Raw genomic sequence first — 24919 nt, 5'->3', positions numbered from 1 at the left:
CTTAATTGCAGACGGCCTAAGCGGCTGCTTCAAAAGGGAACTAGAAGAGGGTCCTACATTCAGACACGATTTTGCTTCCACCTGCTTTTATGAATTTTGCATCATTTTATTGGCATAGATAACCTAAATGAAAACATTTTACTTAAGCAAACCTCAATGACATTCCCTAGGACCCAGGGTTTGCCTTTGACCTAGGGCACAAACGTCTTCCTTCTCAGTGTCTGGCAGAGGGTCTAGCAGCAGCAGGCCTGGCTGATGGTGCGCTGTGAAGCTTTCGCTGATGTGCTTAGTAAGTGCCGGGGCACACATTCTCATTTAAAGCGCCTGCAAATCTGTGCAATAGAAAAACACATCCAGTAGCCAGAAAACGTGTGAGCCCTGATCTGAACTTAGGTCTCCTTCGAGGGCTTCCAGTTTTTTTGTGCAGAGTCGCTGGACTCATCTGGAACGCTACTTGATTAAAGTTTGGGAATTTCTGATCCTCCCAGAAAGCAGATCAACCACCAACTAAGGCTTCAGGCTCTATGGACCACAGGCACCACCGCTTCCTCCTTAACAGCTGGTGGGTGGCTAGGCAGACCCACTCCACCACACTTATGTGGGACCACCAGCCTGGCATTTGGTTGCTTGGCCCAAATATCAGGGCTTGTTCCATCCACAAAGACACACTGCAGCCCTGCTACATGCCAGGCACTTCTCTGGGAGCAGGGATGGGACAGCAGTCAGAGACGCGAACTCTACCCCCTAGGGTGCTGGCAGCTTTTTCGCCAGCTCTTCAGATGCTTCCGTATGGTGGAACCACATAGCGCTCAGACAGCTTGGCCGTCAGGTGGTTTATCTATAGCCCTAAAGAGAAAAACACACCCATTGTCCACAGAGCTCACTACAGACAGTCCAGGAAGTGCTCCCTGGCATGCCTGCTTTCTGGGCAGTTTGCACAGTTGATCCCGTTCCCCTCAGGTGGAGAAGCTTCAGGGTCTAGGGGAATGAGGCAGAGCAACAGTGGAAGGTCAGGGGACAGTGAAGTGGGGTCACTCCCAGGTGCTGAGCTCTGGCAGCCACTGGCACCAGAAGGACAGACAGTAAAATAAGTGATATTTCCCAAGCATACAGAGAGTTATTAATTAGAGTTAGCTATTTACCAGCTAAGTGCTGAAAGGGTCCATGGTAATTAAAAGAGCTAATCAGATTTTCAAAGGGCACCAACACCATGTAAACATAAGGGGATTCTACGTGCTGTTCTCGGCATGTCATTTGAAGCTGTTGGGGTGAGGGGTTGTGGCTGTTGACTCTTCTAGTAGAGAAAGCACCACCCTGTTGGCTGCTCACCCCTAGAGAAGGATGGAGGGACCTAGAATTAATGCCAGGGCCTCCCAACAGGTGCTGCACACACATTTGCACTGTTGTTTGTAAGTATATACAGCTCTTCTGGCTTCTGATTTTGTTTTAGCTTTAATTATCCAAAGTGCTACTAAGTTAATATCAATGTTTTTCTATTGCCTTTTTCTCTATCAGTGGTTACGAAACATGTGTCCATCACGTGTTGTTTGCCTTTAGATCCATTTCACAACCGCCCCCTGCAAACGCTGTTTTCCAGGCTCTCTTGCCTACTGGCTTCCATTTAGGTTCATCCAACGGGAAGTGATGTCAAGAGATGGAGGTGAGAGGAAGAGGGAAGTGAGAGCATTTCTCTCCTCACCCTGACCCTTCACCTCTGATTGGAGTCCCTGGTGGGAGCGGCCCCTCCTGGACCGGCTGGGTGTCAACTCCAGCTCTAGCCAGGTGACCCTTCCTTAGACCCGGTTGCCACTGCGAGACTCAACTCCAAGTTCTATCTTGGCTTCTCCAGATTTAATCTTAAGAGCAGCTGCAGCTAATTTCTGAGGTTTGAAAATAACAGTAATTCACATAAGCAGGTTAATGAAATACAGGAAATGTATCACTTTGTAAATTCTTACAGTGTCCTATTTTAGGATCCCTGGAAGCAGAATCTGAAACAAGTCTTTGTGTGAAGATTTATTAGAAAGTGTTCCCAGAACAACAACAACAAAAAGAGGCAAGACAGTGGAAAGGTGGGACTGGGGAGTGAAAAAAGTGAGCCAGGAACCACGTGGGTGCTTCTGGCTTCCTCCTGCTAGGGAGTTCTGAGACAGAGTCAGGGCTGGTCACACCCCAGAGAGGCCGCACTGGCGATGAAGGAGCTGGAATATTCATATTCTGCAAGTAGTAAAGGGTTAACCTTGCCCAAAGAAAGGTGTGGCCCTGGCACAGCTCCTGGAAGGCAGCCTCTAAGTCCTTTAATCTCTAATGTCCTGTCTGATAAGTGTCTGTTTACCGAGGCCTTAGGCCACACCAGGTAGTTGATGCTAAGGATAGGATTCACAGTGGAGGTCTTGTATCAGCTTGATCTGTCAAGGGGCTGGAGACCAGGTCAGCCATGTAGATTGTCCATCATGTTTACGTGACCAAGCCTTCAATAAAAACCCTGGACGCCAAGGCTCAGGTCAGTGTCCCTGGTCAGCAATATTCCATGCATGCTGCCCCATGTCATTACTGGGAGAACTAAGCACTGCTGCAGAGCCCCACTAGGAGAGGACACTGGAGCACCACAGCTAGAGCTCTCCTGGGACCCACCCTAGGTGCATCTTCCCACTGCTGACTTCGACTTGCTGTGTAGTGTTGGAACCATGTGTAGTAAGAGGTAATCGTGAATCTGGTGACCTTTCTGGTTCCTATGAGTTCTCTTGAATCATTGAACCTGAGGGATGTCTTGCGTCCCTTGCATCCACCCATCACTGGGTAAGGACTGTCTCAGGCCCCCATGCAAGCAGGGTGAGCACAAGGGCTCCAGCAGCCTTGGGACAGCTGCTCACAGAGAGAAGCTGGCACTGGCTGTGGGGGTCATAGCGGCACCCAGGAACAGCATGCACAGATGGGGAAAGGTACCCCAGGGATGCATGGGGCACTGACAGGGCTGGAGGTCAATGTGAGGGCTTCAGTTCCCAAAGCCCCTGTTCTTCCCAGCATCTGGGTGTGGTATCAAGAATTACTTTGGCAAACTGATATGAAGATATTGGTAAACACGAGAACATCTCTCATCATTAATGAGTCATCATATGCTGTTACATAATCAGGCCCCAACCCCTCCGACCAGTGGTTAGAAGCAGAACAAGCTGTTGTGAACTATACATCTAATGCTAATTAGTATGGCTTTAGAGCAGTGCTTCTAGGGCTGCAGCAAGCCCTGGAGTCCCCTGGAGGGCTGTGGGCACACAAGGGTGGAGCCCACCCTCTGAGTCTCTGATTTAGCAGGTCTGGGGAAGGACCTGAGCATTTGCACTTCCAGCTCCTGGGTGACGCTGCTGACAGCCCAGCACACGCTTGGAGAAGACAACTTTAAAGGTGCAGCCATGGGGCGAGCTTGCCAGGGGCCAGTTCTCCATTCTGGTGAGGAAGACGGTGAGCAAAGGGTAACAGGGAAGGTAAATGGCCAAGAGGGCAGGAAGGGCTAGAGGTGGACATGGGTAGGGACACGAGTAGAGGACAAAATGCCCACGTCTCCAACTCCCCAGGGGAACAATTCCCAGGTGTGGTCCACGTGGTTTCTTAGACTTTGGCAGGCCTAAGCCCCCATGCCCACACAGGCTTTTTCCACAGAAGTGGATCTTGATGTGGCACAAAGAGGAAGTGCTGCTAAGAAAAAGGGAATTGAGTTCTGCTTGGTGTGGATCCTCCCAAAGTGGATCCAGAGACAAGGGCTTGGGTGCAGGCAGCTTATGTGGAAGGTGGTCCCAGGAAGCACAAATGAGGGAGTAGGGAAGTGAATGGAGGAGGCAAGGAAAAAGATAATGGAGGCGTCAAGGGCAGGTTACCCGTGTGAGCATCCAAACTCAATTCTCTGGGCTGGGGGTCTTGCCTGTGCTCCCCTTTCTAGGTAAGTACATTCACAGTGAAGCAGGCTCCTGTGATGGGGAAGCCCTCAGGCAGAGACAAGGGCTTGAATGGGAAGTTGTCAATTTACAGCAATCTGCCCCTCATGGCTGAAGATGAACACAGGTAGGCTGAGGGGATACAGGATGGGGCACCAACAATTTATCTGAGGGGTTTGATCAACATGTCATAAAGTGAAAAGAATCATGTCTGTTTTGCAATGAGATGCTTGTCACCCTTGAAGCACTGACAGAAGAGGGTGCCCACTGCCACCCAGACAGTGACTGCCCAGGATTCTGATGCAGAGAAAATCACATGCTTAACAGCAGAGAAATGCCACCTACCATTTAAAACAGGCCCTGACCCCATTCAGGAGGATGAGTAACAGTGAGCGAGGGCACATCCACTGCAAGAAGATGAATTCACAAACTCTAACACCCATGTCCCCTTGCCCAAAATTTAGCTCCAAAAATGATAAAGAAACACATTATTTTAAAACCACCTTACGTTTGACCTTGTCGTGAGTTCAAACTATGCAAACAAGTAAAGGAAATCATTGCAGATTGGGATACACGATGTGAAACAAATAAACAGGACAACATGATAGAAAGTAAAGTAAATTGCAGTGAGGGTGGGGTGAGTGGGTGCATTAGCTATGATTTTCAATGAGAGCCTCTGATAAAGTAACATTTGCTTTTTGTTCCCATGTTACCTGAGAGGGCAACAGAAAGTTTGAGGGATGAGAAAGTGGCAGCCACATGGAGCTCCAGGGAAGGAATATTTAAAGCAGAAGGAAAGCAAGTGCCAAGGCCCTGGGGTAAGAAAGAGGTGGGAGTCTTAGAACATGAAGGACGTGTGGCCGGGCGTGGTGACTCACACCTGTAATCCAGCACTTTGGGAGGCCAAGGCGGGTGTATCACGAGGTCAGGAGATCGAGACCACAGTGAAACCCCATCTCTACTAAAAATACAAAAAATTAGCCAGGCACAGTGGTGGGCGCCTGTAGTCCCAGCTACTCAAGAGGCTGAGGCAGGAGAATGACGTGAACCTGGGAGGTGGAGCTTGCAGTGAACCGAGATGGCACCACTGCACTCCAGCCTGGGCGACAGAGTGAGACTCTGTCTCAAAAAAAAAAAAAAAAGAACATCAAGAAGGATGCCAGGGAGTGGGACGCCTCATGCAGGAGGGAAAGGGATATGAAATATGTTTGAAGGAGTAGGCAAGATGTCCAAAATCCCGGAAACTACACTAGGTATTTCAAGCAGAGAGAACTTAATATGGGGGTTTGTGGCACAGGTGAATGAAGAGTTGAGGAGTCAAACAAGAAGTAGAGACAAAATCCAGATATGAGCAACACCAGGAAACTGATCTCACCCCTAGGCCAGGGGGGCAAAAGGAGAATGCATGTGGGGCTCTCTGAGCCCAAGGTCTCTGTGCCCTCCCAGCCAGGCACAATGGGAGCACAGAGAGAGACTGCCTTGTGCTGGAGCTAAAATCATGGATGAAGCCATGAGAAACAGGAAGAAGAGGCTGGCACATCCAGGCTTCTCTCCTCCTCCCAGCAGCCAATCTCCGGCCAGTGCCTCCCATTGGCTGAATCTACCAGGAAGCGAGAGCGCAAGGCCTCCCGGGAAATGTAGTTCCCTTCGCTGCAGCGCATGGGCACAGCTGGGGAGTGGTACCCTATGTGCCATTTAGATGTCATTTCTGCTGTATTCCCCGCAGTTAGCCCTCTGTGCAATGGTCAGATTAGGTGCTTAAGAAACCTTTGCTGAATTATCAACTACTCATGAAACGAGAAAAATCCAAACAAGTGATGCTAAGGACTTTAGTCCTATTACCCCAAATCCATATAAAGTTCTTCATCCTCAGCAAGACTACCTGATTGTATGCAGTTCACCTGATTAATCAAAGTGTGCTTATATCGCTGATGATGGAGAGCTGTAAGCTTCTCCACAGCATTTTCTCAGCCACTTACGTATAGATGGTATTCACATTTAGTCTTGCATGTCTAAAAGCTGGACGAAGTCCCCCACAGCAATAGGACAAGGTATGCCACAGGTGCCCTCCAATCCAGCTGGTGAAGTCAAAACTAACTTCCTGCAAAAGAGAATCAGTCCACACTGCGATGATAAACTGGTCCAGGACCGGCTGGTTATCACACGGAGTTTGGAATCCATTAATACTGAATGTTCTTATATTCCCTCTTCCCGTCCTTCTTCCAGACATTGCCCTCCATCTCTCTGATGGTTCATATGTGGTAGCCAGCGTGTACAGGATATGGCTTCATTTCCTGCTGTGATCTCCTCTGCGATTTCAAAAAGGTTAATTCGTTACTTGGTAGAAAATGTGAAATTCAACAAAAATATTGCCTTTCTTACTAAGCAAACTAAGCCTGGTCTAGCTGGGGATGTGATGTAACAATTCTCTTGGTGGTCTGCCCTCAAACCGTCAGGTTTCCATAGCCCTAACAATGTGGCCGTGGATCATGGGGGAGCTAGCATTGCCTCCAGGGTGATGTCACAATTCCCAAATCCTTGCACTAGGTGGGGCCAGCCTCCTGTTGTGTAGACTCATCAACTATACCAGTCCTCTGTTCCTGGTCTCTGGAGCTTCAATTTGGGAAAGTGACCCATTAGCTTCTGAGGACCAGGGTGAGAGAGGGCAAACTTGAATGCCCTTCACAATGGAGAGATGTGTGCAGACCGGACAGACATCAGTTCCTTTATCAGTGCACAGGTAGCTGCAATGTAAGTGGCTAGTGTGCAGGAACAGCCAGGGAGCTGAAGGATAAACACTTTGGCTTCATTCTCCTGGAGGGGACAGTTCTGAGTCCTCATGCCCCCGCCCCCCTCCTTCAGAGACCACACCTCGGCTGCTCACAGCAATGGCTGCCCATCAACTCACCCTTCAATGCTTCCACCCCCACACTTCCGGTCCCTCTTCCTCACTCTCTTACAGATGCTTCCTGGAATCCTCTCTCAAATAAACTGCTTGCCTCCAAATCCTTGTCTCAGGCCTGCATGTGGAGAGATAAAACCCAGACAAAGAGGCAGACATGAGCAGATGAGCTCCCCCGAACAGGAGACAAGTGGGCTGAGAGGTGAAGGAAGAGGATGAGGTAAGAGAGTGGGGATGGGGAGAGCGGTCTAGGCAGGAATGCACATGCAAGGGTTCTGAGCACGCACAGCCTCGTGGAATCCCCAGGCCTGCCCGGTTCCATTTGGAAGGAGGACACCTCAGGGTTTCCAGTGCTGTGTGGCGCTGTTGGCATTTGAGGCTCACTCTTTGCCGTGGGGGGGCTGCCCTATCACTGTAGAGTGGTAAGAAGCATTCCTGGCCTCTACCCACTAGACACCAGAAAGATCCCCCAGTTGTGACAACCAGAAATGTCCCCAGACACTGTAAAATGTCCTCTGAGGGGCAATGTTGCTTCCTGTGGAACTGGGGTACAGGGCTCTGAAAAGATGAGGAGGGAGAGGTGGCCACTGCCAGTGTCCCCCTTCCTTTGCACATCCATGGACACGTCCCTTGCCAGGTCCTCCTTAAGGCCGACGTCTGGCCAGGCTGCCTGTCCCTTGGCCTGCTGAGATTGGCCGAGATGGGAGGGCTTGTTGGCTCAGTTGCTTTTCAGAGGCCCGACCGGTGGACATTCTTGCCTTTGACCACTAGATGGACCCATTGCAATGCTGTACACAGGAGAAGAGGGGTAGCCAGAAAGGTTCCAGTTTTACCCAGATGGAGAATTTGGTGTTTGAGGCATTTTCTAGTTGAATTCCCCTGACCCCTTCTATCCCTGGAACCCAAAATGTTGTATTGCTCCCAAGTGTGTTCATGAGTGCCGCTGCGTGGAGAGGCAGCCAGGGCTTGGCCGTGAGCTCCTGCAAGCTCACCTTGGGCAGATGTGAGTTCCAGCACCATCGCTTCTTCCCTGTCTGTAAAGTCGGGGTAAACAAAATGCTTATTTCACAGGGCAGCCACGAACGCTCAATGAGACATGACAAGTCAAGTGTGGAGCCCAGGCCCTTCACCCAGAGGAGCTCAAAAAATATTAGCAGCCGTTACCATTGGAGCCTCTGCCTCCTAAACCTGCCTCAATATCTATGGAGGGTGGGAGCAGAGTCACTTTTCCTCACTGGACCTCAGTTTACTCCTCAGAAAGACAGCAGTGATGATGCCCTCTCAAGATATCCTCTAACTCCAGAATCCCTGTCTCTATTGATCGTGTAGGATGAGGCAGTCCAAGTTAAAACAAACACTTTGTTCTTAGTATCTCATTTCATTTTCATAAAAGCCTTAGAGGACACACGCTTTTCTTATCCTCATCTTACATAAAGGTAAACCAAGGCACAGAGGGCTCAAAAGGTGAGGAGGGATTCAAACCTGGCTGTCTAGACCCATTGCCCACATGGCTAACCACCCCATAACCTGCAAGGAAAAATGATCGTTGTCATTCCTTCTGCAAAAGAAGGATGGCTGCTTGTTTCACAAAGGTTAAAGTTATTTAGCAAGGGGAGCTCAAAGGGCTTTGACTGCATTGCAGCCTGGGAGTCAGAGCAGGAATGGAAAACAACCATGAGCCGGCATTGTGTCCGGACCCTTCCAGGGGTTCCTTGAAAGGGGCTATTTTCCTTTTATTCCTATGCAGGGGTTGGCAAACTTTTTCTGTAAAAGGCCAGAGAATAAATAGTTTAGGCTCTGCAGGCCATATGGTCTCTGTCATAACTACTCAACTCTGTCATTGTAGCACAAAAGCAGTAATGGACAAAATGAAAACAAATGGGAGTGGCTGTGTACCAATAAACCTTTATTTATTAAAGGCAGGCAGTGGCCTAGATTTGGCCTCCTGGCCACAGTTTGCCAGTCCCTGAATTAATGCAGCACTTTACCCCAAACTTGTACTGAAGTTTTAGTTGCGCCTCATCTGGCCAAAAGCATTGCCCACTAAACGTGGACTGTGTCCCCAGTGTGGGATTCCTAAGTGGCCAAAGACGAAAAGCATTTGGTTTTTATTGATAAGGTGTTTCTAAGTGGAATATGTCAGAATGTGTCAGGCTCTAATGAGTGTCTGGGAAACAGAGCCTAGGCAGGCACACGGGGAATGTGCTGGCTTTTTACCTCTGGGTCTGTCCCAGAGAGCCTGCAGGCAGTCCACACAGGGGACACGGTTTCTCTGCCCAACTCTGAAAGTACACGACATGAAACATGTGAATGATACTTTCTCACATCACACTAAGTCAACCTGCAGAAGCTTGCACTGCATGTGCTGGTGCATGCCCGGGGAGGCAGCTGCTGGCTGGGACCGACTTTGCCCTGTGCAGAGATGGGAAGGTCTGTCTAGAGTGCCTGCATAGCTGCTTCTGGTGCCCCACACGGTCCCTGTCTATTTACTGCTAGGGAAGAATCCTGGTTCTGCTTCTGTGACAAGTTGTATGAATTGCCCCAATCCAGCCAATTGCAGTGTTAAGACTCAGCAGTGGGTAGCCACAGGTGGATTCTCTCTTGTAATTCTACATGGGTCCTCACCAAACCTGAGAAAGTATCAACTGCTTGTAAGGAAAAAGACATCAGGGAATTATCAACATATCTCATAAACCTGTACAACTCCAGGAAGAATCACCTAGTGAATGTAGCTCTTAACCAAGAGCAACATACAACTTTGCACACTTATTAAACCCTATAAAACCAACAAATTCAAATTATCAGCATTAGTTTAACATGATAGATGGCGTTTTGGGTGAAACTAAATTGTCCATGTTGAATAGTAGAAAGATGTCTTGGCTGCATGCTTTCCTGATGGACCAGCTTTGGTGACATCATCATCATCATTTTCAGTAATTTTCCTGAAAATAGTGAACTCATTTTAACTACAGTTTCATTATGTTGATGGAGAAATCACTTCTAATTGTGCATTACAGAACAGAGTACTCCAGAAAGCAAAAGACTACCAGAGAATGATAAAAATTTTCTTTCATATTCTCTGTGTTGCAAGAGGCCAGTTGCAAGGTGGCACATATACAGCCTGAGAAAGCTATTGGCTCAGAAAAAGGGTAGTATCTTAGCTGCTGCCAGCCACTTGGGAATTGATGAGCCAGTGAGATTCAGTTCTTGCTGCTTCCCTCTTGTTGATGCATTATAAGACTTCCCACATAGGCAGCTCCTGGCCAACTTGGTGACAAAGACGTAAAGGCCTTTGCAGCTGCGCAGCTCTGCTGTTGGGCAGCCTTGCTAGCCAGCGTGTGCCAAGTCTTCAGGAAAATGGAAATGGAAATTGTTGAGATTCTCATTTGAACTTGAGGATCCCCAAGAGTACAACACATTTTGTCCTATAAGTACAGAGGAAGGTGGCTTTTCCATGCAACAGGTTTCTTATTTAAGCAGTAACTGTTTTTTCTTAAATGCTTAGGTTGCCACTTGTAAAATTTTTACTTCACGTTCATAGTTCAAGGAATGTTGACTAGTTTGCATTCTGATTTTCTACCATTGTTTCATGTTAGTCTTTTTCCTAAAAATGATTTTATAACATCGACAGAGCCAATTGTTTACCAAAGAAACAGTTTGCTGACTTTGTTATGTGAGTGGGAAATAATATTTAGTGTGTAGAAATTAGGTATTAATTTGTCCAGAAAGTATATTATTTTTCAAAATTCACTTATATCTGTAACTTTTGGGGTTTTTTTGTGTGTTTGTATTCATCTTTGGGGTCATGGAAGCAAGCAATTCTATGGGTAAAACAATATGGAATTATTTCTGTATGTCAAACATAGTGGCAAATGTATTAACATATGATTCAGTCTGATAGAATACACTCATATCATCAGCTTTACTGATATGATGCACAGGCATGCTCATTAAAAAAAAAAAAAATCCCAAACCAGATTTCAAATCTAAAAGCTAAATGTGAAGCTTCTTATTCAGAAAACAAAATTGCAAAGCTGGCAGTGTCATGGGTCATGGGGAGAGACAGAGCTGGCAGTGTGACCGATAATTAGAGGCAGCTCAGGGTCCCCGAGCAGGAGCCTCTTCCCCAGTGGATGATGAAAGATGCCGGGAACAACACCTTTGGTGACTCCTGTCCTTATCACCATGTTTTTGGAAGATGTAGCAGAGAAAATTTGCCAGCATGATTTGGTTCTCTCACTTCCTAGCTTTAAGTTTGAGCCTCTGCTGGAGCTTTGGTGGGAAGAGGTGAAGAGGCCTCTGGGTCAAAATTTCCTCTACTTTGCAATTTCCCTCAAGTGTGAACCTCTGAGCAGGTCGAGGGTCCATTATGGACGATGGCCGTACGCAGAGATGACAGCAAGGAGAAAATGACCCAGCAGGGAAAGAATTAAAAGAATGTCACCTTTGTTTGCTCTGGCTCACTTTTTTAATACACCAGTCACCTTGACATTTCTAAAGGAATTTTTCAAGAGCCTGCGTTTAAAAAGTATGCAACTTGTCCAAATAAAATGTTCAGAATCACCAGGTGGGCCCCCTAAATTTTGGCTGTGCTATTCCTCTCACAAAGGTGTGACTTCAATCTCGTTTAACCAAAAGGTATCTATACTTTTGCTGGTGAGAAAGTATTTTCCATTTCAGGTGACCGAGTCTGGGATACCCAGCCTTTGCCGAATGTCAACACTGTTTGGGGCTTCTGATGGTTGCTCAGTGACCCTAGATAAGCACATTCATGCTTAGCAATTCCAAGGTTTTTACTTCCAAGCTTGGGACAATACAAATCATTAACATGTTCTGTTCTCAAGAAAAGGACTTCTTCGTTTAACAAATAACATCAGATGTGAAAAGCAATGGAATCCCTCTTGGTCTTTCAGTACTGTGTTTGTGTGTGTAGAGCTGGGTTTATTACACATGCCTGTTGTGAAGTTCTATTAGACCAAACTCCATTAAAATATCCAACAGTGGCAGAATACAGCAAAGATTTATATCCACAATCTCACTAATCGAGTGTGCAGGCATAGTATAATTCAGACAGAGTATCCCTTATCTGAAATACTTGGCACCAGAAGTGTTTCAGATTTCACATTTTGGAATATACTTACTGGTTGTGTGTTGCGAATCCCAAAATCCAAACTCCAAAATCCCAAATCCAGTGAGCACTTTCTTTAGGCATCATGTTGGCCTTCAATAAGGAGCATTTCAGAGATCAAATTTTTAGATCTGCAAATTCAACCTGTACTAAATTGAGAAATGGCTCATGAGGAAGCCAACATTTGAGGGAGACTTTGAAGGAGAGGTAAGATTTTGACATGAATTGGACTTTGGAGTCAAACTGCAGCTTCCAAATTCTGGGCTCAGATCCACAAAGACAAATCTTCAGCTCAGTTCAAGATTCTGTCATTAAAAACTGTGCGGTCTTAGGGGATGTTAGGAACCATTAGAAGCCTCGGGTGGTCTCCTACAGGGCAACAGTGAGAATCAACACTGCTGATAATCCTATAATTTGGGGCTAACACATGGTAAGTACTTTACAGCACGTGTGATTGTCTCTGCTACTACTGTGCTATTTGCTATTGTCACCTCTTGTGGTAGGAGGCATTATTTGCCGTAAATCTTCATCTCTCCTGCATCCACACCCTCTCCAAGGTAAGGTGGGTGTGAGCTATTTTCTTGCCCCTTTACTTTGGGCTGGAGCATTCAACTTTGTTTCACCAATAGCCTCTAGAAGAAGGGATTGTTTTCCGGTTTTGAGCCTAGGAATCAAGAAGCCTTGTGTGTTTCCACGTTCCCTCTTATTTTTCTGCCAATGACATGAGGAGAAGTCCCCCTGGGTCACTACTGTGCTGCAGCCTTGGCTCAAAACAAGCATGGTGGAGTCGAGCCCTCCTTGCCCACCCACAGACTAGCACTGAGAGCAAAACTACCTGGGCCAAGGCAGCCTGGAGCAAAACTGCCTGGCAAAGCCCAGCCCTGACCAGCTGAACCCAGAGAACACACAGGCACATGAGCAACAGCAAATGACTGCTGGATTATGCAATTGATATGAGGATGTTTTGTTATGCAGCTATAGCTAACTGATACATTATTCCTGATAATTTCAATACCAGAGGCTGTTGAATAAGCAAAAGCCTGATGGAGGGGCTATGTAGGGTGGAAACTGGAAACAGTGGGAAAACAGGGTATGGAAAACAGAACAGTGGGAACTAAGGATTAAAAGGCATGGAGATTACGGAGTTCCCTGAGGATAAAGCTAAGGAGCCCAGGCTTTACCCATTTTACAGTGGTAGCCCCTGGAGGCTTTAAGGAGGTTGAGGTGAGCAAGAAGAAGTTTAGGAGAGGTGATAGGACTGCAGCTCCTTCTTATGCGGGCCACACAGAACAGGGCCGGCCACTTGGCACCACAGCTCCCTACACCTTCCTCCCATCAGGCCCGGAGAGGCTGGTCGGTTGGTGGTCTCCCTTCCTTTCCCTGTCCAGAGGGACAGGGAAATGCTCCCGATTTTAGCATTGATAAATACACCAAGGGGCAGTGAGGTGGCAGCCCGGACCCTCTCTCCTTCTCTGACAAATCCACTGTCCTGGACATTGTCTAGACATGGGACTGTGGCTAAACAAAAGTAACAGACACTAAACCAATGATCTGCACTTTGTCCCTATATTGTCAGCAGCTCCAGCAGCCTAAGGGCTATCCTCTGAAGCAGAGTCACAGAGCCGAGTGTAGCAAGAAAAGGCTCGGTGATGCCTGGGGAGGCGACGCCGGCAGTCAGAAGAATCCAAAGGAGCCTTGACAGCGTCACTGCAGACAAACCTGTCTCCACTGACTGCCCTACTCAGACTCTGCCTGTCTGTGGTGGCCCACTCTCCTCGGGGTGGATCGGCCTAAGAGTTTCATTAAAATCAAGGGGACGGGGATTGTGGGTAGTGTTGGGACCCAGTAAAGCCCTGGGCTTAATGGATCAGAACCAAAACCCCAGCTCCACATGGGCAGCCCTCAGTTTTCATGGGTCAGCCCTTTCTGAGAAACCCAGCCAGGGAGGAGCACAGGACCAGCAGCAGGGGATGCTTCTAAACCCATATCTCACTGGATAAGCTCATCACCTTCCAAGCCTCTGAAGAACATTTACGTTCCTATAAGTTTCTGAAGCCACGTTCAAATCGTAGCTCTACCACCAATGAGCTGCACGTTGGAGGGGAAGTGAATTCACCCCAGACCTGAGTTCCACATCCCTAGACTGGGTGAGAGGGCCTCTGCCCAGGCTCTCCATGAGGATGACCTGCACCGTGTGCCTTTAATGCACTTAGAACAGCAGGTGCCTCAGTAAACGCTCACTGCCATTCTGCGATCATTATTGCATTCACTTCCTGGGGCTGCTGCAACAAAGTACCACACCCTGGGGGCGAAAACAACAGACCCTGACCGTGCCGATGCTGGAAGTCTGAGATCAAGGTGTGGGCAGGGCTGGTTCCTTCCGAGGACTGTGAGGAAGACTGTTCCACGCCTCTCTGCAGCTCCGGGTGGTTTGCAGGCAACCTTTCCATTGCTGGCTTTGCAGACACATCACCCAGTCTCTGCCCTCATGTTCACATGGCTCTCTCCCTGTGTGTGTGTGTCTGCGTCCCAGCCTCCCCTGTTTATAAGGACATAGTGGCATTACATGACTACTATTACTCTGATAGGGCCTCATCTTAACTAACTACATCTGCAAATAACCCATTGCCACATAAGGTAGCATTCTGAAGTACTAGGGGCTAGGACATCAACATAGGAATTTGGGGAGCACATAATTCAACCCATGATAATGATTATCGTGATTATTATTAAGAATATATAACCACTGTAGGATGAAAGCAAATACTGTAAAATCCTACTCATAGGTTTGCAGGGATTAAATGGCATCACTGGAAAATTGTCTGACACAAAGAAGGGGTTCAACAAATGTTGTTTTACTTCCTCACTGTCAGCCTAAATATAGAAAGTATTTGCTCATTGGCCCGACAGACAAGTTTTGACTTCTAGTTTTATACCAGCTTTATGTATACATGCTTATATGTCGTATGTGACATTTTGTACATATAAACATTAGTTCTGCCTTCTAATGCTATTTTGAAATCACCTTTCCCTTGTTAAAGTGTTCTTTTGAAATTATATAAAATAGCTGAATAGTATTTTAAAGCCAAAATGCTACAATTTACTTGCCATGTTTTATAATTTGCTTACATTCAGATGGTGTACCATCTTGTGTTCTGTTATGAAATAGCACAACCATGCATAAATGACCCTGCCATCCTACCCCTAGAACTTTATTTACCATGAAATGCCTCCACGTACTTTCATTTGCATGTCTTGAGAACTGAACCGTAGACCCCTCTTCCCTGTCAGTGTTGACCATCGATATTTCCTCCCACATGTGGCTTCTGTTTCTGTCTCTGGGCAGATTTATTCTAACCTGCCCTCAAATCTGTAAGAAGATTGTTCATTCCCTAGGGCTAGTCCAAGTCTCCTGGCCTGGTGCTTACTTCAAATTCACCTAAATCTGGCATAAAAGCTTTCAGGACAAGGTGGATCAAACTGCGCCCTTGTGTGAGTACTCCCTGGACAGAATGTCTGGTTATCTTCGGTGTAAGTTATTTCCCATGACTCACAAATAGAAATCAGGAGAGGAGGGAGGTAGGAGGTGCAAGCCTCTGCAGCTGTCTGGAGAGTCAGCAAAAGGGAGACAGAATCTTTAGTTACTTCACATGTGTGACAATACGCCTATGTTTTGTTTTATGTTGTTTATTTCTTATGTAACATTGTTGAGTTATCAAATGAAGTGGTGTATAAAAATGTCAAATAAACAGGTTCTCTCCCTTTCTTCCTGACCACATAACTCTAAGAAGCATGGCCAGACCCGCCGGGCGCGGTGGCTCACGCGTGTGATCCCAGCACTTTGGGAGGCCAAGGAGGGCAGATCACGAGGTCAGGAGATCGAGACCATCCTGGCTAACACGGTGAAACCCCGTCTCTACTAAAAATACAAAAAATTAGCCGGGCATGGTGGCGGGCGCCGGTAGTCCCAGCTACTCGGGAGGCTGAGGCAGGAGAATGGCGTGAACCCGGGAGGCGGAGCATGCAGTGAGCCCAGATCAGGCCACTGCACTCCAGCCTGGGCTACAGAGTGAGACTCCCTCCAAAAAAAAAAAGAAAAAAGCCCGACCAGACCTATGGCTCAGTGGCGTCTATACACGGCCACATCTGAGAAAGCCAGGGATGGGTGGCCTCATCGTACCCCAAGCACAAGGCGTCATCCACGCAGCCCTGCTGGTTTGATAGCAGCAGCCCGGGAGAGCTCTAGGGATTTTCATTTGGTGGGCTTGTCTATTCTCTAGCTCACCCTCAAAAGGGGAAGTGCCCAGAAAGTCACCAGCTGAAGCAGGCTCAGAAGACCGGGGCCCATTTGCTCATTTGTTCCTTGCACAGAGTTTAGGAAGGTACCCATCCTGCAGGAAACACAACCTGGCTTCTCGAATAAATGAGTTGCAAAGAATGGAGACGGGGAGATAGGGAGAAAAGGAGGTCAGGGCAGTGGAGTGTGAGGCAAAGAGAAAGAAAGGGAGAGAGTTGGGGAGGACACCTGCCAGTTAAAGGAGATTGAAAACAACTCACTGCAATAGGTAATTTAGCTCCTAATTTAAAGAAACCGCTAAAAAAAGATTATGATATTTATGAGACAATTGGAAATATAAACATAAACTGGATATTTGATGATACTGAGGAAATTGTTGCTCATTATTTTACATACAGTAATAGTATTAAGATTGTATTTTTTTCAACTTTTATTTTACATTCAGGGGGTACATGTGCAGATTTGTTACCTGGGTATATTGCGTGATGCTGAGGTTGGGGTACAAATAATCCCATTTCCTGGATATTTTTTTTTTTTTTTTTTTTTTTTTTTTTTTTTTGAGACGGAGTCTCACTCTTTCGCCCAAGCTGGACTGCAGTGGCGCTATCCCGGCTCACTGCAAGCTCCGCCTCTTGGGTTCATGCCATTCTCCTGCCTCAGCCTCCCGAGTAGCTGGGATTACAGGCGCCCACCACCACGCCCGGCTAATTTTTTGTATTTTTAGTAGAGACGGGGTTTCACCGTGTTAGCCAGGATGGTCTCGATCTCCTGACCTCGTGATCCGCCCGCCTCGGCCTCCCAAAGTGCTGGGATTACAGGCGTGAGCCACCGCGCCCGGCCCATTTCCTGGATATTGAGCGTGGTATCTAATAGTTGCTTTTTCAATTTTGACCCCCTGCCTACCCCTCACCTCTAGCAGTGCCCAGTGTCTATTGTTGCTTCTTTATGTCCATGAGTACCCAATGTTTAGTTTCCACTTAGAAATGAGAACTACTGGCTTTCTGTTCCTGCCTTAATTTACTTAGGATAAGGGCCTCCAGCTGCATCCAAATTGCTGCAGAGGACATGATTTTGTTCTTTTTTTATGGCTGCATGGTATTCCATGGTGTATTTGTACCACATTTTCTTTATCCAGTCGATATGATTATATTTTTTAAGATGACTTCTTATATTTTAGTGGTACACAGCAAAACATTTACTGGATGAAATGATATGATGGTGACAGCATAAAGAAACCAGTTGGCTATAAGTTTGTACTTATTTAAGCAGTGACCTAGAGTTTTCATTAGGGAACTCACTCCATAAATGTCAAGATAAGGAGACCTTTTCTCTGAACTCTAAAGAGAAAAGTTTCTCTAAGCTTTTATCAACAGTGGGATGAGGAGCAGGCCACCTGCACTGTGGGTGATGCAGAATTGATAGGGGCTGGTGTCTGCACCTCACCCTTCAGCTTCAGGATGTCATACAAACTTTATTTGGTGAAGCCCTGGGTCCCACCCTGCCCTCTGCTGCACCTGGAGTAGCTAAGTCGGGAGTCTCTTGTTTCCATTTCTCCCAGTAATGTGGTCTGCATGGGGAAGGCAGGCCCATGCCTGCATGGGGAAGACATGGCCTGATCGTTGATGATGCTGAGGTTTGAGGCACAAATGATCCCATTGCCTGGATACTGAGCATAGTGTCCAATAGTTAGTTTTTCAACCCTTGCCCTCCTGCCTCCCTCCCTGATAGTGTCACGCTTTCCTTTCCAGCACCCCCCACCCAAGCCTTGTGTATGTGCTAATTCCTCACTCTGCTCTGGGTTGGGTAATCCTTCCTGTACACAGGAAAGGAACAGGTGAGAATGGCGGCTCAGTTCTAGGTAGGATACAGGCAACCTGCAGCGCTCCCCCTGAAGGCTTGGCTCAATTACACATTCTTATCTGCCCATTTGTCAACAAATAGGGACCTGCTCTGCCCACAGCGCTGGTGGATGCAGTAAACCAGGTCCCCGCTGTCCGTGAGTTTTGCCCTGTTTAGTGCAAAGGTATCAAATGACTGAAGACAATTAGCATCCAACAATGGGAATAAAATTGAATACATCGATGTGGATTACAGTCAACCTAAGCTGGTAGTCTATTTATGTAAAATTTGGACAAAACTAACCTAGCCTGATAAAAGTCAAGTCAGAGGTTGCCCTGGTAGGGTCAAGGAAGGCGGTTAGCTGGGCACACATGTAAGGGACTTTCTGCAGCAGTGGAATGTTCTAGATTTTGATTTGGGGAAACCGTTACATCTTCTGTCAAACCTCACTGACCTAGAGGAAGTGACACTTCTCTGAGAGTACCTGGTATATGATTATGATTTCTGAGATCGTGTCAATGTATTATGTATTTGAGAAACAAAACTAAACCAAAAGGGCAGGGAAAATCCTCCTGCCAATGGCAGCATGGAAAAACTCACTCTATCACATATACATGAAGTTGATGAGTGGTAACAATTTGATGTCTAAACCAGGGATTCCTGTCCTGGTCTAAGGATGTATTATGACAGAAGCCCCAAAACCCCCTAAAATAAGATGCAAAATGCCGTTCATATATTGATTTTTCTAGGAGGGAAAACCACTGTTCCATCAGATTCTCAAAATGGTTCCTGACTCAGTGGACTTAGAAACCCCTCTTCTAAAAAAAAACAAATAATCTCATGAGTTAATGCTGGAGTATGCAGGAAGCATAGAGCCCAGTGCCTCTGTCCTTGGGGAATCACATTTTTCCTGAAAGCTTCCAGAAAGTTGAAAGGCTGGCATTTGCTTCTCTTGCTCTGCCGCTGCCTGCAGAGTGAATGAAGAAATATGGAGGCCACCATCTACCAGGGCTTTGAGGGTGGGGTATATAGTAAAAGATAAGGAGATTCCTTAAAAAAAAATTGAAAATAGAACTACTAATATTATGGCTGCGCTAATTTGCATTCCCACCAGCAACATAAAAGGGTTATCCCTTTCTCCACATCCTCACGAGCAGTTATATCTACTGTCTTTTTGATAGTGGCTATTCTAACTGGGGTGAGATGATATCTGATTGTGCTTTCAATTTACATTTTCCCTATGATTAGTGATGCTGAGCATTTTTTCATATACCAGTTGGTCATGTGTATGTCTTCCTTTGAGAAATGCTTATTCAGGTATTTTGCTCTACTTTAAATTGGGTTATTTAGGTTTTTTAATTTGTTTTCTTTTCTTTTTGCTATTGAGTTGTTTGAGTTTCTTATATAGTTTAGATATTGTCCTCTTGTCAGATATAGAGTTTGCCAGTATTTTCTCCCATTCTGTAGGTTGTATCTTCACTCTGTTGATTGTTTCCTTTGCTGTGCAGAAGCTTTTTATTTTGATGTGATCTCATTTGTCTACATTTGCTTTTATTGTCTGTGTTGGTCTTCTCCCAAAAAATCTTTGCTCAGATCAGTGTCATAAAGTATTTCCTCTATGCTTTCTTCTAGGAATGTTATAGTTCTAGGTCTTACATTTAAGTTTTTATTTGTTTGTTTGTTTGTTTTCAGATGGAGTCTTGCTCTGTCACCAGGCTGGAGTGCAGTGGCACAATCTCAGCTCACTGCAACCTCTGCCTCCCGGGTTTAAGTGATTCTCCTGCCTCAGCCTCTTGAGTAACTGGTACTACAAGTGCACACCACCACACTCAGCTAATTTTTGTATTTTTAGCAAAGATGGGGTTTCACCATGTTGGCCAGGATGGTCTCGATCTCTTGACCTCATGATCTGCCTGCCTTGGCCTCTCAAAGTGCTGGGATTACAGGCTTGAGCCACCACACCAGCCTACATTTAAGTTTTTAATCCATCTTGAGTTAATTTCTGTTGGTTTTATATATGATGACAGATACAAATCTAGTTTCATTCTTCTTCTTTGGACACCCAGTTTTACCAACACTATTTATTGAACAGACTGTCCTTTTCCCATTGTGTGTTCTTGGGCATCTTTGTCTAAAATTAGTTGGCTGTAAGTGTATAGATTTATTGCTGTGTTCTCTTTTGTGTTCCATTAGTCCATCTGTCTGATTTTGTGCCAGTACCATGCTGATTTGGTTATTACAGCTTTATAGTGTACTTTGAAGTTAGGTAGTGTGATGCCTTACAGTTTTGTTCTTTTTGCTTAAGATTGCTTTGGCTATTGGGGGTCTTTTGTGATTTCATATTAATTTTATAATTGTTTTTTGTATTTCTGTGAAGAATATCATTGATACTTTGATACAGATGGCATTAAATCTATAAATATGTTTAGTAGTATAGACATTTCAACAATATTAATTCTTCTAATCCATGAACATGGAACCTCCTTTTCATTTATTTATGTCTTCTTAAATTTGTTTCACCAACGTTTAATAGTTTTTATTGCAGAGACATTTCACCTCTTTCTTAAATTTATTCCTAGGTGTTTTTGTAGCTATTGTAAATGGAATTGTTTTCTATATTTCTTTTTCAGGTAGTTTATTATTAGCATACAGAAATGCTACTAACTTTTGTACATTGATTTTTGGAATCTGCAACTTTACTGAATTGGTTTACTAGTTCTAACAGCTATTTAGTGAGGTGCTTAGGATTTTCTATCTATTATCTCATGTCATCAATAAGCAGGAACAATTTAACTTTATTCTTTTTAACTTGGATACTTTCTATTTATTTCTCTTGCCTATTTGCTCTGTCTAGTACTTTCAGTACTTTGTTGAATAAAAGTGGAAAAGGTGGGCATCCTTGTCTTGTTCCTGATCTCAGAGAAACAGCTTTCAACATTTTGCCTTCCAGAATAATGTTAGCTGTGCGTTTTTCATATATAGCAAAGCCTTTATTGTGTTGAGGTACATTCCTTCTGCACCTAATTTCTTTTTGTTTTTTATCATGAAGGGGATGTTGATTTTTGTCAAATGCTTTTTCTGCATTTATTGAAATAATCATAGGGTTTTTATCCTTCATTCTGTTAATGTGATATATTATGTTTATTGATCTGAGTATGTTGAACTATCCTTGCATTCCTAGGATGAATCCCACTTGATCCTGCTGAATGATCTTTGTGTCACACTATTGAATTTGGTTTTCTAGTATTTTGTTGAGGATTTTTACATCTATTTTCCTCAGGGGTATTGGCTCATAATTTATTTTGTTGTTGTTGTATCCTTGTCTTGTTTTGCTATCAGGATAATGCTTGCCTTACAAAATCGGTTTGAAATAATTTCCTTTTGTTCAAGTTTTTGGCCTAGTTTTTAAAAGTTGATATTAATTCTTCTTTAAATGTTTGGTGGAATTCAACAGTGAAGCCATCAGGTCCTGGGCTTTTCCTTGATGGAAGATGTTTTACTATCGATTCAGTCCCTTTTGTTATTATCAGTCTATTTAGTCTATCAATCTATTTCTTCATAGTTCAACCTTGTTAGGTTGTATGCATCCTGGAAAAAATCTTTTTTTACACACTTTATATATCAAACAGAATGCAGATTGACACATGGCATTTGTTGTACATGCCTATGCTGATGTTGAAATTTCATTGAGGTAGTTTATTTTCTATTTTCCCATCTTTCTGCTTTGCTTCTCTGGGTTCTTGATACCATCCTTTCACTCTAATGACACTGTAGTTATTCCTTTACCAGGCTCAAAGTTTTCTCTTCTCCAGAGCATTCCTCTCACGCTGCCTCTGCTTGGGCTGCCTTTCACTTCAACCCATCCTTCTTTGTTGAAATCTCACCACCATTCAAAGCAGTGCTCATGTTCCTTGCTGACCTGCCTTGACTCCCTAGCTCTTCCTTGAGACCCTGGCACATCTGATAAATGGTTTGCAAAAGTGGCCCCAAAGCTCCTCCCAAGCATATATTCACACCTGTTTGCAATCTGACTCAAATTCCATCAAGAGATGGAGTCCATTTGATGCCTCTTAAATCCAGATTGGACAAATATTTTGGCTAAGGAGACATTAGAAAATATGGCACAGTGAAGATTTGAAAAGTGCTTGTTCATTGGATCTTGGCCTCTTTTGTTGCTCAGGATACCTCTGCCTCCGAGAAAATGAGACTGGGTTGTCCTGCTGAAGGAAAAGAGTCACATGACTATTGCTCAGATAACATCAAGCTAACCACCAGGCATGTGAGTGAGACTGTCTAAGATAACCCAGTTTCAGCTGAGCTGATCCAGAGCAGAAAAGCTGTCCAGGAACCAAGGAACCTGACAGATAAGTAATTTTTCTTACTTTAAATCTTTATATTTGAATTGGTCTCTTATCCAGCAAAAACTGCCTGATATGACACCTTCACAACTCCTTTATATATTCCAACTTAATTGTAGCCTCCTTGAGCACAGAACCACTTTGACTGACATCTTCTGAAGCTCCTTCAGGACTCAGATTCTGCCTCACTCATTTAAGGAGCAGAGGACATGTTTGTTGATTGACAATCTTGTCCAAAGTTTCTGCTATGCTTCAAGGATCAGTTAGTAATTTAATTCCTTTAGAGGCTGGTTTAGGTCCCCAAGCACCAGCTAAAAACAAACCTGCAACATCGAATCTTGAAAAAAAGCCAACAGATCATAAGCTTTGAAATCAACTGTAGGATCTATGGAGGAACATTTTGCTAGGGCTTCAAAGACCATAGGCATTAATATAAACTCACTCTCAGACTCAGATCCTCTCTCTGATTTCTCCTTCAGTTCCTGCAGAGAATTTGAGTCAAAGGGAATGGAAGAGTCAGCTAGTTCAAATGAATTGAGGTGGGGATGATTAGAAATTGAAACTCAGCTGACAAAATTGGGAAGTAAAGTTTCTCTGAAAGTATTATTTTCATAATTATAAGGAATTTGCATATATATATAAATTACTTTCTGTCATTTAAAAATGCTTCCACAAAAATATACATAAGAGTTTCACCTCAAGGTTGAAAATGAGAAAGTTGGAGTATATGATGAGTAAGAGCTTATAAATATATAATCCTGTATAGAGTTCTGACATCCTAGATGCTGTCCACCTGTCCCTAACAAAAGCCATGGATTTCTACAGGGTCATGTAAAGTAAAAGGTTATTTTGAACATTCTAAATTAGTTTCTGGGAAAGGAGGGCAGGATTTCTCTCTTGTGCCCTTTGGTTCTCCACAATGTAGTTATTAAGACAAGTACTAGACACTGTGATGAAGTTTATTTCTCACTCATGTAAAGTCCAAAATGAGCCATTAAGATAGGTGGTGGAGGGTGGGGTTGGGTACAGAAAGTACACTCCACACAGTGGCATAGTCATCTTCAGCATGTAAATTCTATGGCCACACTGAGTGCCAATCCAATCAACAGAGGAAGACAGAAAGGGTGATGCATCAGAGAGTTTTATGCAGCGGGCCTAGAAAGTAGTGTACATCCCTGTGCCCACATTTAATTGGTGGAACTCAGTCACATTATCACATCTAACTGCAAGGGAGGCTAAAAATGTGGTCAGCCTTCCACAGATTGTCACCAATAAATGATTTCCCCCCATAATAAGAGCATCACATGGATCATGTCACATCCAGACTTGGGGATTCAGTGACATCCAGCTAATACAGAGTTTTGGTAGGAGGTGTGATTGCATGCCAAAGTCATTCCCCATGTAAAACCAATAAACAAATTCATTCAAAAACACTAGTTTATAATATATTATACTCCTGGGACAATGCTAAGATCTACAAGTTATAAAAGAAAAATACACCATAATGTCTCCCCATTGGGAGCTTATAGTTAAATTGAACACATTTGACATATTCACTGAAAGATTTGTAAATAATGCAGCATTGATTTCTAAGTATGTTTCTCTGTCATAGATAAGTGCATATTTATACATTTTTCTAACATATTTTTCCAGAACATAAGACAGTACAAAGAGTTTAGAGATAGAACAGATCCTGCTATTGTTTGAATGTCCCTTCCAAAACTCACATTGAGATTTTATTGCCATTGTGACCATATTAAGAAGTGGGACCTTTAAAAGGTGATTAATACTGTTATTATGGGAGTGAGTTAGTTATCGTAGGAGTGGGCTCCTGATAAGAGGATACATTTGGCCCCCATTTTCTCTCTGTCTTGCACACTTCCTTGCCATGCACAGCCTTCTGCAGTGGCAAGACCCTGACCAGATGCTGATGCCATGCTCTTGGACTTTCCAGCCTCCAGAACCATGAGCCAAATAAACTCCTGTTTTTTGTAAGTTAGTCTGTGGTATTCTGTTATAGTAGCAGAAAATAGATGAAGAAATCAAATGGTATGAAGAAGTGGGGTTTTTGCTATAACAAATACCTGAAAATGTGGAAGCAGCTTTGAAACTGAGTAATGGACAGAGGCTGAAAATACCTGTGAAAGGTATGGACAGAACAGATTTTGAAGTAGCTGGTTAGGAAAAGCCTAGATTACTGCAAATAACATGTTAAGAGCAATTCTTTTCCCCCAGGCTGGAGTGCAGTGGCACAATCTCAGCTCACTGCAAGCTCCGCCTCCCAGGGTCATGCCATTCTCCTGCCTCAGCCTCCTGAGTAGCTGGGACTACAGGCGCCTGCCACCATGCCCAGCTAATTTTTTGTATTTTTAGTAGAGACGGGGTTTCACCATATTATCCAGGATGGTCTTGATCTCCTGACCTCGTGATCTGCCCACCTCAGCCTCCCAAAGTGCTGGGATTACA

At 44.8% G+C, this 24919-nt stretch overlaps 2 long non-coding RNA genes across 4 annotated transcripts, besides 1 other annotated feature; one reads left to right on the top strand and one right to left on the bottom strand.

Moving 5' to 3' along the window:
* LOC124904963 (uncharacterized) lies at nucleotides 86-6363 on the bottom strand. 2 transcript variants are annotated; one of them, XR_007067728.1, is made up of 2 exons: nucleotides 5909-6363; nucleotides 86-846 (listed from the first exon to the last, which is right to left on the bottom strand). It is a non-coding gene; the product is annotated as an uncharacterized LOC124904963 (long non-coding RNA). The 2 variants fall into 2 exon arrangements; XR_007067729.1 differs by having other exon boundaries at nucleotides 86-332.
* Nucleotides 6102-7301: an enhancer, noted in NCBI's record as "MED14-independent group 3 enhancer chr20:22665133-22666332 (GRCh37/hg19 assembly coordinates)". NCBI's record gives its function as "activates an origin of replication core promoter dependent on BRD2, BRD4, P300/CBP and CDK7 cofactors, and independent of MED14, by STARR-seq in HCT116 cells {active_cell/tissue: HCT116}" and the evidence as "EXISTENCE:reporter gene assay evidence [ECO:0000049][PMID:35650434]".
* LINC01747 (long intergenic non-protein coding RNA 1747) lies at nucleotides 6452-24503 on the top strand. Of its 2 annotated transcripts, none has more exons than NR_146527.1 (3): nucleotides 6452-6680; nucleotides 6892-7051; nucleotides 22276-24503. It is a non-coding gene; the product is annotated as a long intergenic non-protein coding RNA 1747 (long non-coding RNA). The 2 variants fall into 2 exon arrangements; NR_146528.1 differs by lacking the exon at nucleotides 22276-24503 and adding an exon at nucleotides 7903-8134 and having other exon boundaries at nucleotides 6948-7051.
* The last annotated feature ends 416 nt before the right edge of the window (nucleotides 24504-24919 follow it).

Source organism: Homo sapiens, chromosome 20 (genome assembly GCF_000001405.40).
Source record: "Homo sapiens chromosome 20, GRCh38.p14 Primary Assembly".
In the NCBI taxonomy this organism is placed as follows: domain Eukaryota; kingdom Metazoa; phylum Chordata; class Mammalia; order Primates; family Hominidae; genus Homo; species Homo sapiens.
The sequence above is the reverse complement of the archived record's forward strand: the minus strand, read 5'-3'. Positions and strand labels throughout refer to the sequence as shown.